Below are 15,506 nucleotides of genomic sequence, written 5' to 3'. Positions count from 1 at the left end.
TAGGTGATACAGTATACACGCAACCCATTTTAGCACAGCTACCTTCTGTGTTCTGATGGCTTAGGTGATACAGTATACACGCAACCCGGTGTTGAGTTGTTGAGTTAGTCCGTCCTTAGAATTGCCGCAGAGAGAATGTGTTCTTCCTTAAGAAAATAGTAAGCTATTAACTAAAAATAACACAGGAATCATAGCAAAATACATTTCATTCTCACAAAACCTTGAAACAAGATGATAGGCATTATTTGAATGACTTTAGGTTAACTAGACATTCTTTCTTGTGGGAAATGACTTTTGTTTGGAAACTTTGGCTGCTTTTAAAGTACGTATGTTTTGGCCAGGCGCGGTGACTCAGCCTGTAAACCCAGCACTTTGGGAGGCCGAGGCAAGCGGATCGCTTGAGGTCAGGAGTTCGAGACCAGCCTGGCCAACATGGTGAAACCCTGTCTCTCCTAAAAATACAAAAATTAGCCGGGCGTGGTGTCGCGCGCCTGTAATCCCAGTTACTCGGGAGGCTGAGGCAGGAGAATCTCTTGAACGCGGGAGGTGGAGGTTGCTGTGAGCTGAGATCATCACGTTACTGCACTCCAGCCTGGGCGACAGGGTGAGACTGTCTCAAACAAACAAAAAAGTACCTATGGTTTATATAACCTGCCATGAGAAAACTGATGAGATACCAGATTTTGTGTACCAATTTTATGGCAGCATTTGGACAGCAGTATTTACAACACCTGTTTCAAGAATTGCCAAAACAAAGGCAGCAATTCATTTTTTAGGAGTTTTGGGTAGGTTTTCTTAGCTTATAAAATTGATAACCAGGCCAGGCATGGTGGCTCATGCCTGTCGCTCCAGCACTTTCGAAGGCCAAGACAGGAGGATCACTTGAGCCCAGGAGTTTGACATTAGCCTGGGCAAAATGATGAGACCTTTCCCCCCATCTCTATAAAAAAATTAACAATTAGCTAGATGTGGTGGTGTGCACCTATAGTCCCCAGCTGCTTGGGAGGCTGAGGTAGGAGGATCACCTGAGCCCAGGAGTTTGAGGCTGTAGTGAGTTGGGATTGCAACACTGGACTCCAGCCTGGGCAACAGAGCAAGACACTGTCTCTAAAACAAATGAACAAAAAAATGATAACCGTAGCCCTGGGTAGGAATTTCCTTAACATTTTCATCCATAAATAGGGTTGGTATCTGAACTGCTTAATTGTTGGTCAGTAAGAATTGGACCCACATTCACTCTTGAAGGCATAAGAAAAGTTTACAGTTAGCTGTTGATAATGTTGATTATCTTTATTTTATTTTATATGGTCTTATGAATCTCATATTTTTTTTTAGAAGTTGAATTAGTGCTGCAGGTCTTCAGAATGAAACATTAATCCCATGTGGAAAACTGAATGCAGCAGTGCTTTTAATTAGCACTGAGCGCAGGCCGGGCACGGTGGCTCACACCTGTAATCCCAGCACTTTGGGAGGCCGAGGCGGGTAGATCACCTGAGGTCAGGAGTTCGAGACCAGCCTGGCCAACATGGTGAAACCCAATCTCTACTAAACATACAAAAAAATAGCCAGCTGTGGTGACGCATGCCTGTAATCCTAGCTACTTGGGAGGCTGAGGCAGGAGAATTGCTTGAACCCGGGAGGTGGAGGTCACAGTGAGCTGAGATGGCACCACTGCACTTCAGCCTGGGTGACAGAGCGGGAGTCTGTCTCAAGAAAAAGAGAGAAAAAAAGAAAAGAGAAGAGAAGAGAGAAAAGAAAAGAAAGATTAGCATTGAGCACAGTTTTTTAGCTGAGAATAGCTGAGGAGCTCCAACAGGGTCTGTACATGTTAAGTCACACTAGTCATGAAAGTATGTAGAGCTCAAAGTGGTGTGTTGGAAGTGCAGAGTAGTGGGAAGCGACAGGCCAGAGGCCTCTGCCGTTACCTTTCTCTTTGTTTAGCAGTTTGTCACAGTTCCACCAGTATTACGCAGTCGGCTAGCTGTGCCTTTGCATTCTTGTTAAATCTGAGTTAGAAGACTACTGGATTTTGGTGTAATACTTGATGTCCTGTCCAGAGAACCTCTGTTTGTTTGTTTGTTTGTTTGTTTGTTTGTTTGTGAGACAGGATCTCACTCTGTTGCCCAGGCTGGAGTGCCGTAGCAGTCTTGGCTCACTGCAGCCTCTAACTTCTGGGCTCAGGCAGTCTTCCCCCCTCAGCTTCCTGGAGTGGCTGGGACGACAGGTGCGCACCACCATGCCTGGCGATATTTATTTTTGTAGAGATAGGGTCTTGCTATTTTGCCCAGGCTGGTCTTGAACCGGCCTCAAGAGATCTCCTGCCTTTCCCTCCTAAAGTGCTGGGATTACAGGCACTTCCTCCCTGCAATTAGATTCTGACACTATTAGCATACATTATAAGCTGAGCTCCTTCCCCTGGAGAGTTTCAGGAAGTGGGAGGCGGGGTTGGAACGCCATCACACTCTGTTAGTGATGGGCAGGATGCTCGTTGCTGGTTATTGATTCTCTGTGTGAGGTGAGTCCCGGGCACCTGATACTGACTGAGCCCTCACGTGATCCTTGGGGTAGGTGTTGTGAAGCCCATTTTGCTGATGAGGAAAGTGAGGCTTGGGGGCAGTCACTGGACTGACGTGGGGGCCCAGTGGTCGGCCCGGCTAGGAATGGGCCCAGGCCAGTGCCTCACTCACAGTCAGGGCTGCTGGAGCCTAGAGAGGCAGCCGTGGTGTGGAACCCAGCCCTGACCACGTCAGCTTAGAGGTTGCGCCTGTGGTAGAGACTGTGTTATTGCCATCCTTTACGCTGTCACCTGCCCCTGCCCTGCTAGTTCAGGGCCCGGTCAGATAGTGGTTTAGGGCTACATCCTTTAGACATTAAAAAACACATGGCCAGGCATGGCAGTGCACACCTGCAGTCCCAGCACTTTGGGAGGCCGAGGAGGGAGGATTGCTTGAGGCCAGGAAGTTGAAGCTACATTGAGCTATGATCGCACCACTGCACTGCAGCCTGGGCGACAGCGAGAGACCCTGTCTCAAAAAACAATAAAAAAACAAGAGCCCCTCCCCGGAGTGGGGACATTGAGACAGCACATGGCCCCGTGTCACTGGGAAAGTAACGGTGACCCAACCCGTATCTCTCAAAAATGTCTCCCGGGCAACAGGTAGCTTGAAAAAGGCCCGGAGCCCATGCTGACCATGAGAACAGGCTCGGCAGCCCCAGTGCCAGTGACAGAACCTGTTAATACCCCTGATGGGAGCCCCTGCCTGCCAGGTGTGGCTGCAACCGGCTTCAGAACCGACCTGGTCATACCCAGCCCAGACGCCACGCTCGCCCTCCGGCAGGCCTCCAGGTCCTTCCAGTGGAAACCCCACCCACCAAGGCCAACCCCGTCCTTTGAGCTTAGGTCCAAGGAACACAGGCTGCCCTGGAGAGTCCGATGTCGCCACCTTGGGGGCCAGGGCGCATACCTGTAAATGGACTCCTACCACCAGGTCCAAAAAGCCCCAGGAAAGTGAGACCGTGGGCCCCTCCAGCTGTTTGCACATCCTAATAAGTAACTGTGCCTCTGCTGCACCCATTCTTTCCAGGGAGCACGACCCTGGAGGAGCGAGGGGGGAACTTGCCCCTCCCATGTTGCTGCGGTCTTTTTCACGCCCTTCTCAGCAAGGCTGAAATACGTGTTAGGGGCTGAACTCCTTAGAAGAGAATCCGAGAGGCAGCTGCCGGCTGCACGTGAAAATGGGTTGAAGTGTACTTTCAGGAAACCTTTTCAAATGACAGGACTTGCGGTCTGAGCTCCTATACAAGGAATTAGGTAGATTGGATGTTTTTGAAGTGTGGATTTTGATTTTTCATCTTACTTGTTTTAGAACCAAAAGTTAGGCCAGGCACGGTGGCTCACACTTGTAATCCCAGCATTTGGGGAGGCTGAGGCAGTCAGATCACCTGAGGTCAAGAGTTCCAGACCAGCCTGGCCAACATGGTGAAACCCCATCTCAATTGAAAATCCAAAAATTACCTGGGTGTGGTGGCACGTGCCTGTGGTCCCAGCTACTCGGGAGGCTGAGGCAGGAGAATCGCTTGAATCCGGGAGGTGGAGGTTGCAGTGAGCTGAGATTGCGCCATTGCACTCCAGCCTGGGCAACCGAGTGAGACTCCATCTCAAAAGAAAAGAACCAAAAGTTAGTTCATACATACTGGGGCAGAAGTAAATTCCTAGGAGACTTTTTTCTCTCCTAAACATATTCTCTGTTTCTGGATTTTTAATAGTTTTATTTTGTATTTGTCTCTTGTGTGGGTCTACCAACGTGTGTATTTAGAATGATCAGAACAAATACATCAGATTTAAAAGCATTTTCAAATGGCCCTGGAAAACAGTCTTTTCACCTGAGGGTAATGAATATTGGTGTTCTTTCCTGGGGTTCTGGGGGTCATGGGACAAAGGCCCTGATCAGATAAATAACTAGGCAGCCCTAGAAAAATAAGGAAAACACGTAGAAAGGGACTTGTAAACCCTGTGTTCATTGTCTTTGTATTTTATTATTATTATTTTTGAGACAGGGTCTCACTCTGTTGCCCAGGCTGGAGTGCAATGGCGCGATCTCGGCTCACTGCAACGTCTGGCTCACGAGTTTAAGCAATCCTCCTGCCTCAGCCTCCCTAGCAGCTGGGACTACAGGCATGCACCACCACGCCCAGCCAATTTTTGTATTTTTAATAGAGACGAGGTTTCACCATGTTGGCCGGGCTGGTCTCAAACCCCTGATCTCAGGTGATCCACCTGCCTTGGCCTCCCAAAGTGCTGGGATTACAGGCGTGAGCCACCGTGCCCAGCCCTATTTCAATTATTTTTTGAGATAGGGTCTCACTCTGTCACCCAGGCTGGAGCACAGTGGTGTGGTCATAACTTAATGCAGCCTCAACCTCCTGGCCTCAAGCAGTCCTCCCTCCTCGGCCTCCTAAGTAGTTGGGATTTCAGGTAAACACCACCACACCAGGCTAAATGTTGTATTTTTTTGTAGAGACGGGGTTTTGCCATCGGCCAGGCTGGTCTCAAACTCCTGAGCTTAAGTGATCCACCTGCCTCGGCCTCCCAAAGTGCTGGGATTACAGATGTGAGCCACCGCGCTCTGCTCAACTTTAATTTTAAAGTTGCCAGATTTCTTTTAGCTAGAAAGTTAATTTGTACATATTTGGGGGAATGACACTTCTTTTTTTGGTGGATATGTTCCTTTTGCTTTGGGCAGGTTTTTTTCCCCTAAGGTAAGTTCCATTTGCCTTTTTAAATGGACCTATTGTGAGTCGTTTACTTGTCGCGGTTGGCGGAGAGTGGAGAGGCGGCATGGCTCTGCTTCCGCGGCATTGTGGATCTGGGAAGGCCAGTCCTGCCGCAGGAGGTGAAGTCTGTGGTGAGCTCTGCCCCTTGGGAGCAGAGTGACCTGTAATGTCCCCAGGCCCTTGCCATGGATGTATAAAGAGCCGGTGGTGTCTGTTGTTTTGAGTGTCGTTGGTTGAGTCCAGGTTGGTGGTTCGAGGCCGGTTGTGGTTGCTCATGAGAACCTGGGGTTTGCCATCTTGTCCTGCCCTTGACACGAGCGGCTCATGAGCCAGCACAGACAGGGCTCTGCAGGTCGTTCCGTTTCTTAAAGCAGCAGGAGAGGGCTGGAACAGGAGATGACCCCTCCTTGTTCCTGAGATGTCGGCCAGTTTGGTGCACAAGAGTAAAAAGGTGTTGCCGTAGTGAGCCGATGCTGTTGGAAATTCTGTCGCTTGTCCTGCGTCTGGGAGGGCACGTAGCTAATGCCTTCTCTAGCGTGATCAGCATGGTATCGTCAAGTTGGTGTTCTCAAGCACCTGCCTGGTGGGGCTCACCATGCAGCCAGCTCCACGTGGGACCATGTTCCTTCTCAGCAGGGCAGAGGACAAGCCCATCAGTCCCACTGCCGCATAACCTGGCTCGCCCCCGAGGCTCGGGAAACTCGACGCCCAGGCTCTGGAATCCAATTCCCACCTCAAGAACCTGCCGCCCTATGGTGGCTCCATCCTGAGGAACCAGGCGGGTCCTGGTTTGGAGCTGGCCTCTTGACTCCATTCAAAAGAAGACGGTTTGAAAGTGAGCCTGGGGTGATAAAATCCTTTCGGGCCGGGTGCAGTGGCTCACGCCTGTTATCCCAGCACTTTGGGAGGCCGAGGCAGGAGGATCACTTGAGCCCAGGAGTTCGAGACCAGCCTGAGCAACATAGTGAGACCCCCCCCATCTCTGAAAAAAAAAAAAAAAAAAATTAGCCAGGCATGGTGGTGCACACCTGTAGTTCCAGCTACTTGGGAGGATGAGGCGGGAGGGTCACTTGAACCCAGGAGTTTGAGGCCACAGTGAACTATGATTGTGCTACTGCACTCCAGCCTGGGCGACAGAGCAAGACCCTGACTCAAAAAGCAAAAAAGTCCTTTTGGTATCTTCCCGAGGATTGAGTTAACAGAACTCCTTTCCAATACGTTGGGACATTTTGGGGGTTTCTGGATCTGAAATGGGCATTTCACATGGAGACTGCACCTAAGGGTTTCATGGTCAGAAAAAAAGAAAAAGAAAAAAACTGGTTACAAAATCAGGACTGTTACGGGTATGAATGTGTAAGATGCATTTTGAATATAAAACCCCTGTGAACAGAAGTGCCACAAAATGAAATTCTGGGTGTGTGTGTGTTGTGTGTACACACAGCGATTGAAATGTCGTCTTACTGCTGGTAAAACAGACTTGAAAACTCTCTCCCTGATGAAGGACTTGACTGGACGCATTAGCCTCTGGTGTGGCAGGGCACGTTGTCTCTCTGGCCCCTGAGGCCCTGCGCCCTCCACCTGGGTGTGGCTCACGCTGCACGCAGTCGCAGACCCACCGCGCCAAGGTCAGAACGCGGGAGTGCAGGTGTTCTCCAGCGGTTCCCGGGGCACGGAAGTCAGTGGCTGGATGAGCCAGGGTCTCTAGAGGGACAGGACTCACAGGATAGAGGTCTCCATGAAAGGGACCTTATCCAGGAGAAGTGACTCACACGGTCACAAGGTAAAGTCCCACGATAGGCCGTCTGCAAGCTGAGGCACAAGGAAGCCAGGGGTGGATCAGTCCGAGTCCCCAAACCTCAAAAGTCGGGAAGCCGACAGCACAGCCGTCAGTCTGTGGCCAAAGGCCCGAGAGCCCCTGGCCAACTGCTGGTGTAAGCCCAAGAGTCCAAAAGCTGAAGAACTTGGAGTCTGATGTTCGAGGGCAGGAGGCACCCAGCATGGGAGAAAGATGAAGGCCTGTAGACTCAGCCAGTCCAGTCCTTCCACGTTCCTCTGCCTGCTTTTATCCTGGCCGAGCTGGCAGCTGATTAGATGGTGCCCACCCAGAGTGAGGGTGGGTCTGCCTCTCCCTGTCCACCGGCTCAAATGTCACTCTCCTTTGGCAACACCCTCACAGACACACCCAGGACAATATTTTGCATCCTTCAATCCAGTCAAGTTGACACTCAGTATTAACCATCACAGGGCCCTGTGACATTTCCATTTCCAGCTGGGTGGCCTCAGCCTTCATCTCCATCTGCCATGGGGGTGATAGAGAAATAGGTGATGAGCTGTGTTCGGGAAGAAAGAGTCCTTGTTTTTAATTATTTTAGTTTTTTCTTTTTGAGACGGAGTCTCACTCTGTCGCCCAGGCTGGAGTACAGTGGTGCAATCTCAGCTCACTGCAACCTCTGCCTCCCAGGTTCAAGTGATTCTCCTGCCTCAGCCTCCCAAGTAGCTGGGATTTCAGGCATGCACCACCATGCCCGGTTGATTTTTGTATTTTTAGTAGAGACTGGGTTTCACCATGTTGTCCAGGCTGGTCTTGAACTCCTGACCTCAGGTGATCCGCCTGCCTTGGCCTCCCAAAGCACTGGGATTATAGGCGTGAGCCACTGCACCTGACTGAGTCCTTGTTTTTAGAAAGAATGATGACATTTCTCAGCCTGTGATTCCAGGAAAATCTTTATTTCCACTTGAGTTTTTCCTTGGACTCTAAATGTTTTGGGGGGTTTTGTGTGTGTGTGTTCCCATTGAGTTATTCAATGCAGTGTTCAGCAGAAATTAGCATTATATGCAAATAGAGAATGACCCATCTTCCTGGCTGTCCCTAAGACATTTCGCCACCTGCCTCTATCTGCAGATCCCACCCGTGTCCCTCTGAAGTGTGGACCACACCTAAGCCTGCTCCGTCTCTTCGGAGCAAGCAAGAGCATGGCCCTACAGAAAGAGCTCTGGGCCAGGTGACGTGGGCAGCTCAGATGGGCCCATTCCATCCCCTAGGCCTTGACGTCCCCTTGAGTTTGGTGGCCGTGTGAACAAAATGAGATCAGTGGGGCTCGCTAGCTTTGCATCCCAAAATTCAGTTTAGAAGGATGCACCTGAAAAAGCTTGACTTCCCAAAACAAATTCTCCGACCAAAAAGCCATCAAAAGACATTAGCCTGGGGCCTGAAGGTGGGAGTGCCGGGCAGGACTTGTAGACGTGTGTCACCACTGTTTGTAAGTCCATGTTAGCCTGGGCTCCCCGTTTCCCACCTGTGCTCTTCTCCCCTCCCAGGCAGGCAGCACCAGCGCGTGCTTGTTGTCATGGAGATGGCAGCTGTCTCTGGTGTAGTACAGTGGCACAGTTCCTTCCAGCAACAGGTGACTCCAAACAGCAGCAGCAGCAGCAAATAGCCTGGGCTCATTGGTTATGGGCAGGCTTTACTGAGAATAAATTCATGACTTTTTTTTTTTTTTTTTTTTGAGACAGGGTCTCGCTTCATTGCCCAGGCTGCAGTGCAGTGGCGCAATCTCGGCTCACAGCAACCTCCGCCTCCTGGGTTCAAGTGATTCTCATACCTCAGTGCCTCCTGAGTAGCTGGGACTACAGGCATGCACCACCATGCCCGGCTTTTTTTTTTTTTTTTGTATACACCATGTTGGCCAGGCTGGTCTCGAACTGCTGGCCTCAAGTGATCCGCCCACCTCAGCCTCCCAAAGTGCTGGGATCACAGGTGTGAGCCACCACACCCGGCCAGTTTGTGACTTTTTATACCTGTTTCTCAACTATCGCTCTCACCTCCTCAGTGTGGGTCAGACTTTGAAAATTGACAGCCTGCAGGCCGTGTTTGGTTCTCACGCCTGTGCAGTGAGCTTTTTGCTTGCTTTATTTGAATTAGTTGCCAGCATTTAAAAGTGGGAGATTCCGCTGGGCGTGGTGGGGTGCGCCTGTAGTCCCAGGTACTCGGGAGGCTGAGGCAGGAGAATCGCTTGAGCCCAGGAGGCAGAGGTTGCAGTGAGTCGAGACTGTGCCACTGCACTCCAGCCTGGGCGATAGAGTGAGACTCCGTCTCAAAAAAAAAAAAAAAAAAAAAAAAGAAGATTTCACAAAACCTCTGGTTCCTAGCATCGCTTAAAATTGGAAACTCTGGGGCCAGGTGCAGTGACTCCTGCCTGTAATCCAGCACTTTGGAAGGCCGAGGTGGACGGATCACTTGAGGTGAGGAGTTCGAGCCAGCCTGGCCAACATGGTGAAACCCCATCTCCACTAAAAATACAAAATTAGCCAGGCGTGGTGGCAGGTGCCTATATTCCCAGCTACTGGGGAGGCTGAGGCAGGAGAATCGCTTGAACCAGGGAGGTGGAGGTTGCAGTGAGCCGAGATGGCGCCATTGCACTCCAGCCTGGGCGACAGAGCAAGACTCCGTCTCCAAAAATAAAGGAAACTCTGGCTACCCTGGGCTACATCGTAAGCTCCTGCCACATGCTGGGCCCTGTAGCCTGTGAGTTCTTGTTTAATCATCACACCATCACCATACCAAATTAGGTGTTCCCATTTTACAGGTGAATCCATAGAGACAGGAAATGGATTAGTGGTTCCGGGGGCTGGGGAGGGATGGAGAGAATGTTGATGGGGACAGGTTTCTTTTTGGGGTGGTGGAAACATTCTGAAATTAGGTAGAGGTGATGTTTGCACAGCCTTGTAAATGTACTAGATGCCACCGAACCGTGCACTTTAAAGGGGGGATGTTACAGTGTGGACTATATCTCAATCTTAAAAAAATATTAACTATCGATGACACCCAGTTTCTGACTCCAGCGCAGGCCTCTCCCTGGAGCTCTAGTCTCGGCCCCTGCATACAGCGGCCCATGCAGCATGCTCTGTGGATGTCTGACTGGCATCTCAGGCTGATCATATCCAAGTCCAAGCGCCTGCACGCTTCTCCAAAACCCCTTCATCCTGCTGGCTTCCCCGCGGCAGGCAGGGCCGCCGGCAGTCCTTCGTGCAGATCCCAAAATGGGAAGCCAGGCTGGCCTCCTTTCCTTCTTCTGACCTTGAGCGCACGCCCCTGCACGCGCACCGCCTCCACCGCGCACCAGCCTGCCTCGTCTGTATTTTGGACCTTCACGCTTCCTTCTGCTCTCGCCCCCATTTCCATCCGCGCACAGCGCCAAAGAGGCCCCATCACAACGTAGCCCATGTCCCTCCTCCGCTGGAAACCCCCGTGGGGTCTCAGGGGACAAGCTGGAGCCCCTACGATGGCCTGTGACATCCATCATGGTGTCCTCTGCCCCCTGTTCCACACCCTTTATTCTCTGACCCCATCTCCCCTCATTCCTTCCGCTCTAGTCACGCTGCCTTCTGGACCAATCCAGGTTCCGGGCACTTCACCCTCAGGCCCTTCCCATGCAATTCCCTCTGCTCAAATGCGCTGCCCTGTTTCCCCAACTTTGTGTCTTCACCCTCCTCCTCACCCACCAGGCCCGCCATGACCAGCCCGTGAGAAAGTGCAACCCCCTGCTCACACCCCCTTGCCGCGTCCTTCCCGGCGGCATGAGAACCATCAGATCGCGTTGAATTATTTTGCTGACCCCGTGTCTCCCTGGACTATCGCGCAGCACCCTCCTGGAGGACGGGACTTTGGTCTGGTTATTCCCCGCTGCTGTGACAGCGCCCATGACAGCAGCTGGTCCCCACTAGCACCCAGGAAGTATTTATCCAATGACTCAATGAATCTGCCGCCGGATCGCCCGGGACTGCTTTCACTTTCTGTCAGGTATTTTGTACACACAGAATTTCTCATAGTGCAACCCGCAAAAGCAATATCATCTTTAAAATGGTGCCTCAGAAGGCCTCTAATGACTTTTTTTTTCAGCTTAGCCAGAAGATGGCCTCCTTTGTTCTGAAAATGCAAATGATTTTCCATGCTAAGTTGGGATTTAAAGTAGAAGTAAAAAATTCACATTAAAAAAAGAAAAACTTGGCTGGGCACGTTGGCTTATGCCAGTAATCCCAGCACTTTGGGAGGCCAAGGGTGGAGGATTGCTTGAGCCCAGGAGTTCGAGACCAGCCTGGGCGACATAGTGAGACCCCATCTCTACCAAAAATTTAAAAAATTAGCTGGGCACAGTGGCTCACATCTGTAATCCCAGCACTTTGGGAGGCTGAGGCAGGAAGATTGCTTGAGGCCAGCAGTTCAAGACCAGCCTGGGCAACAAAGCAAGGCCCTGACTTTACAAAAAATTTAAAAATTATCTGGGTGTGGTGGTGCACACCTGTAGTCTCAGCTACTTGGGATGCTGAGGTGGATCACTTGAGCCCAGGAGTTAGAGGCTGCAGTGAGCTATGATTGCATCACTGTACTCTAGCCAGGGTGACAGAGCGAGACCCTGTCTCTTAAAACAAAAAACCTCTTAATGATGTAGTTTAGAAGAACTCTTGTTTTCTGCCCAACTCTTTTTCTCTGCAAGAATGTAAAAGGGCTACTTCCTGTCCTGTGAGTTTATTGCAGAGTTTACGGGCACATGCTCTACATCAAGACCCCTGCCCTAACCATCTAGTGTCATCTATGTCAGCCTCTGAGTGGTTTCTCTCTGGGATGTAGGAATCTGAGCTCTGACCATGTTTGGAATAATCGACTTTTGGTTTTGGTCCGGAGATGATGTGTTCACATGATCGCTGGTCTCAGCTACCACAGGTGTCTCTGAATCAGACTCTGCAGATGGCTGTGAAGCGCCTGTTATGTGGTAGTTGCTAGAAAAGCCTAGAAAGAACAAGACTTTTTTTTTAGACAGTCTCGCTCTGTCACCCAGCCTGGAGTGCAGTGGTGCGATCTCAACTCACTGCAGCTTCCGCCTCCTAGGTTCAAGCAATTCTCCTACCTCAGCCTCCGGAGTAGCTGGGGATTATACAAGCCTGCTACCATGCCTGGCTCATTTTTTTTGTATTTTTATAGAGATGGGGTTTCACCATGTTGGCCAGGCTGGTCTTGAACCCTGACCTCAAGTGATCTGCCCACCTCGGCCTCCCAAAGTGCTGGGATTACAGGCGTAGGCCACTGTGCCCTGCCTGTGTCAGGGCACAGTGGTTTTTTTGAGACAGGGTCTCGCTCTGTTGCCCAGGCTGGAGTGCAGTGGTGTGATCAAAGCTCACTGCAGCCTCAAACTCCAGGGCTTAAGCAATCCTCCCACCTCTGCCTCCCAAGTAGCTGGGACTACAGGCACACACCACTGTGCCTGGCCAATTTTTGTAGTTTGTAGAGACTTTGTAGAGGCGGGGGTCTCACTGTGTTGCCCAGGCTGGTCTTGAACTGTGCTCCTGGGCTCAAGCTATCCTCCTGCCTTGGCCTCCCAAAGTGCTGGGATTAACAGGTGTGAGCCACCACACCCAGCCTGGTTTTTAGTATATTAACAGAATTGTGTGACTGTTACCTCAAATTCCAGAACATTCCTATCGGCCCAAAAGGAAACTCCATCTCCATTAGCCATTACTTTTAACCCCTCCTTCAGGGCCTGGCACCCACAAATCCCCTTCCTGCCTCTGTGGATTGGCCTCTCCTGGACATTCTGTAGAAATGGAATTACATATTGTATGGCCTTTTGTGTCTGGCTTCTCTCACGGGGTGTGATGTCCTCAAGGTTCATCCATGCAGCATGTGCTAGAGTGTAATTTTTTTTTTTGGTGGCAAAATATATATAATACAAAATTTTCCATTTAACCTCAACAAATGCTTTTTGATCCACCTGTGACAGCAGGGATTCTCAACCCGGGGTCTGGGAAACCTAAGGTAACTACAGGCACACCTGTCTTTGTCATTTTCAGGGGATCAGGGCAGGGCGGGAGGCCACAGCTTTCATCTGACTCTAAACTGTGAGAAGGCAAGGGGGAGTCAGCGTGACCGCCCACGCTGGGAACCCGGGGAGGGCTGTGGGCCTCTCCCTGTCGCATCTGAGACCTGGCAGAAGCAGCAATGTTGGCTGCCGACCATCTGCAGAGCTAGGCTCTAATCCCTAGTCCCCAGCCCCAGGGACCCCAGCCTGTCCTTCCCAGATCTGAGTTTCTCAACAGCAGCAGTTTTTAAGAGATGGGGTCTCACTGTATTGCCCAGGCTGGTCTCCAACTCCTGGGCTCAAGTGATCCTCCCGAAGTGCTGGGATTACAGGTGAGCCACTGCACCTGGCCAACAGCAGCACTTTTGACATTTGAGGCTGGATTATTCTCTGCAGTGAAGTCATTCTGGGCACTGCAGGGTGCTGAACAGCGTCCCTGGCCTCCACCCACTCCATGCCAGGAGCTCCCCCAAGTGGTGACAACCACAGATGTCCTCAGACATCACCCAGTGTCTCCTGGGGGCAAAACCTGCCCTCTTTGAGAACCACTGCCCTGGGCTGCCTTGGTTTTGGTGTCTGGATGAGTCATGCTGTGGGGTGTTCTTCCCAGGAGCTGTGTTTTTGCTGGCTCAGCTCCTGAAACCACAATGTGGCAGATTGTTGCCAAAATGCCTTCATCCTTCATCCACCCTTATATCCATGCCCTTCCCACCATGTCCTTGCTACTCTTCCAGTCCAGAAGTGGAGACCACTCCCCCGGCCCTTGCATCTGGGCTTCCTTGTGCCCTGCCTTGGACAGTTGGCTGCAGTGGAAGTGACGCTGTGACTGCCCTGTGCCCAAGCTTAAGAGGCCTTGCCTGCATCTGCTCCATCTTATGGGACCCTGCCTGGTGAAGGACCCAAGGCTGGCCTGCTGGAGGAGGAGATATAAGGAGAAGAGTCACAGTGCCCCATCCAACAGGTAGCTGCCCTCCAGGGGCAGAGAAGCCCAGCCATGGTCAGGAGAGCCACCCAGCTGAGGCCCACCTCCACCAGGATTGCCACCCAGCTGAACCCCACCTCAGCCAGGAGAGCCACCCAGCTGAGCCCCATCTGGCCAGGAGAGCCATCCAGCTGAGCCCCACCTCTGCCAGGATTGCCACCCAGCTGAGCCCCGCCTTGGCCAGGAGAGCCACCCAGCTGAGCCCCGCCTGGGCCAGAAGAGCCACCCAGCTGAGCCCCGCCTTGGCCAGAAGAGCCACCCAGCTGAGCACCGCCTTGGCCAGAAGAGGCACCCAGCTGAGCCCCGCCTGGCCAGGAGAGCTGCCCAGCTGATCCCCGCCTGCAGAATCACAAGTGAAATAAATGATTGTTGCTTTGAGTCAGAGGTCAGCGGACCTTTTCTGTAAAAAGCCACATAGTAAATATCTTTGGCTTTGTGAGCCACACCATGTCTGTCACATTAGTGAACCCTGCTATTGTATTGCAAGATGAGCCGTGGACAATGTGTCATCCAGTGGGCTTGGCTGTGTGCCAATAAAACTTTATTTTTTTGGACACTGAAATGTGAATTTCATGTAATTTTGCACATGCCATGAAGTATTATTACCCTTTTAACTTTTTCCAGTCACTTAAAATTATAAAAACCATTCTTAGCTTGGGACTGTACAAAAACAGGCAGGCCGCATTTGGCCATACATAGCTGACTCCATCTTAAAAACCCTTCTGTCCCCTCCCTTCCTCCCCTAAATTCTGGGCTCTGCCAGGCCATGGTCTCCCCTGAGAGTGGGTGTGAGACCCATGAAGATGTGGGCTGCCCCATTGGAGACAAAGCCCATGCTCTACTTCCTCGTGTAAGCATGCTTAGTGGAATGGAACAGCAGTGTGTGCATGCACGTGTGTGTGCATGCATTTGCATGTTTTGGTGGCTTCTGGGGTCACAAGCAATGACTTGAGATGAGGCAGGCCAAGTGTTCCCTTCCTGAGTCATGGTCACTGTGTGGTCACAGTCACCAAACACATATTACTCTTGGCTGTTCCCAGGCCCTGTTTTAGGTGTTTGTAAAGCCCTACACTGCTGAGAGCTGGCTTTGACTGTGCTTTCCTGCCGGTGACATGATGGCGCATGTGTTCTGTCCCCCTGTCCATCACCCCCTCTAGTTCTGGCCCCTGTGTGTCTCGTGTCCTTAATGGGCCTTCCCTCTAACTGCTCCCCTCTCTAACCGTCTCCACCTGTCTTGGTCGGCTGGGGCTTCCCTAACAATACCACAGACTGAGGCTTAAACAAAATGTATTTTTTCCCTGTTCTGGAGGCCAGAAGTGTGAGATCTAGGTGCCAGCAGGGGGTGGTTTCTGGTGAGGGCTCTCTCCTTGGCTTTCAGATGGCCACCTCCTCACAGT

The 15,506-nt window shown here is 51.3% G+C and overlaps 1 protein-coding gene across 4 annotated transcripts in view; it reads left to right on the top strand.

The window, feature by feature from the left end:
- Window positions 1-15,506, top strand: part of ZFR2 (zinc finger RNA binding protein 2) — a 65,015-nt gene that overhangs the window by 2,563 nt on the left and 46,946 nt on the right. The window contains exons 2-3 of one of the 4 annotated variants that reach the window (NR_027149.2): window positions 10,917-11,074; window positions 13,862-14,671. The exons of 2 other annotated variants lie outside the window; for them this stretch is intronic. Coding sequence is in view for 1 of the 2 variants with exons in the window: in NM_001145640.2 (NP_001139112.1) it covers window positions 13,862-14,021 (160 nt within the window). In the remaining variant the exon portion in view is untranslated. Of the gene's footprint in view, window positions 1-10,916; window positions 11,075-13,861; window positions 14,672-15,506 lie in introns of those variants that run through there. One more of the 4 variants, NM_001145640.2, reaches the window with a different exon arrangement.

This window comes from Homo sapiens, chromosome 19 (assembly GCF_000001405.40).
Source record: "Homo sapiens chromosome 19, GRCh38.p14 Primary Assembly".
NCBI classification, from domain to species: Eukaryota; Metazoa; Chordata; class Mammalia; order Primates; family Hominidae; genus Homo; species Homo sapiens.
The sequence above is the reverse complement of the archived record's forward strand: the minus strand, read 5'-3'. Positions and strand labels throughout refer to the sequence as shown.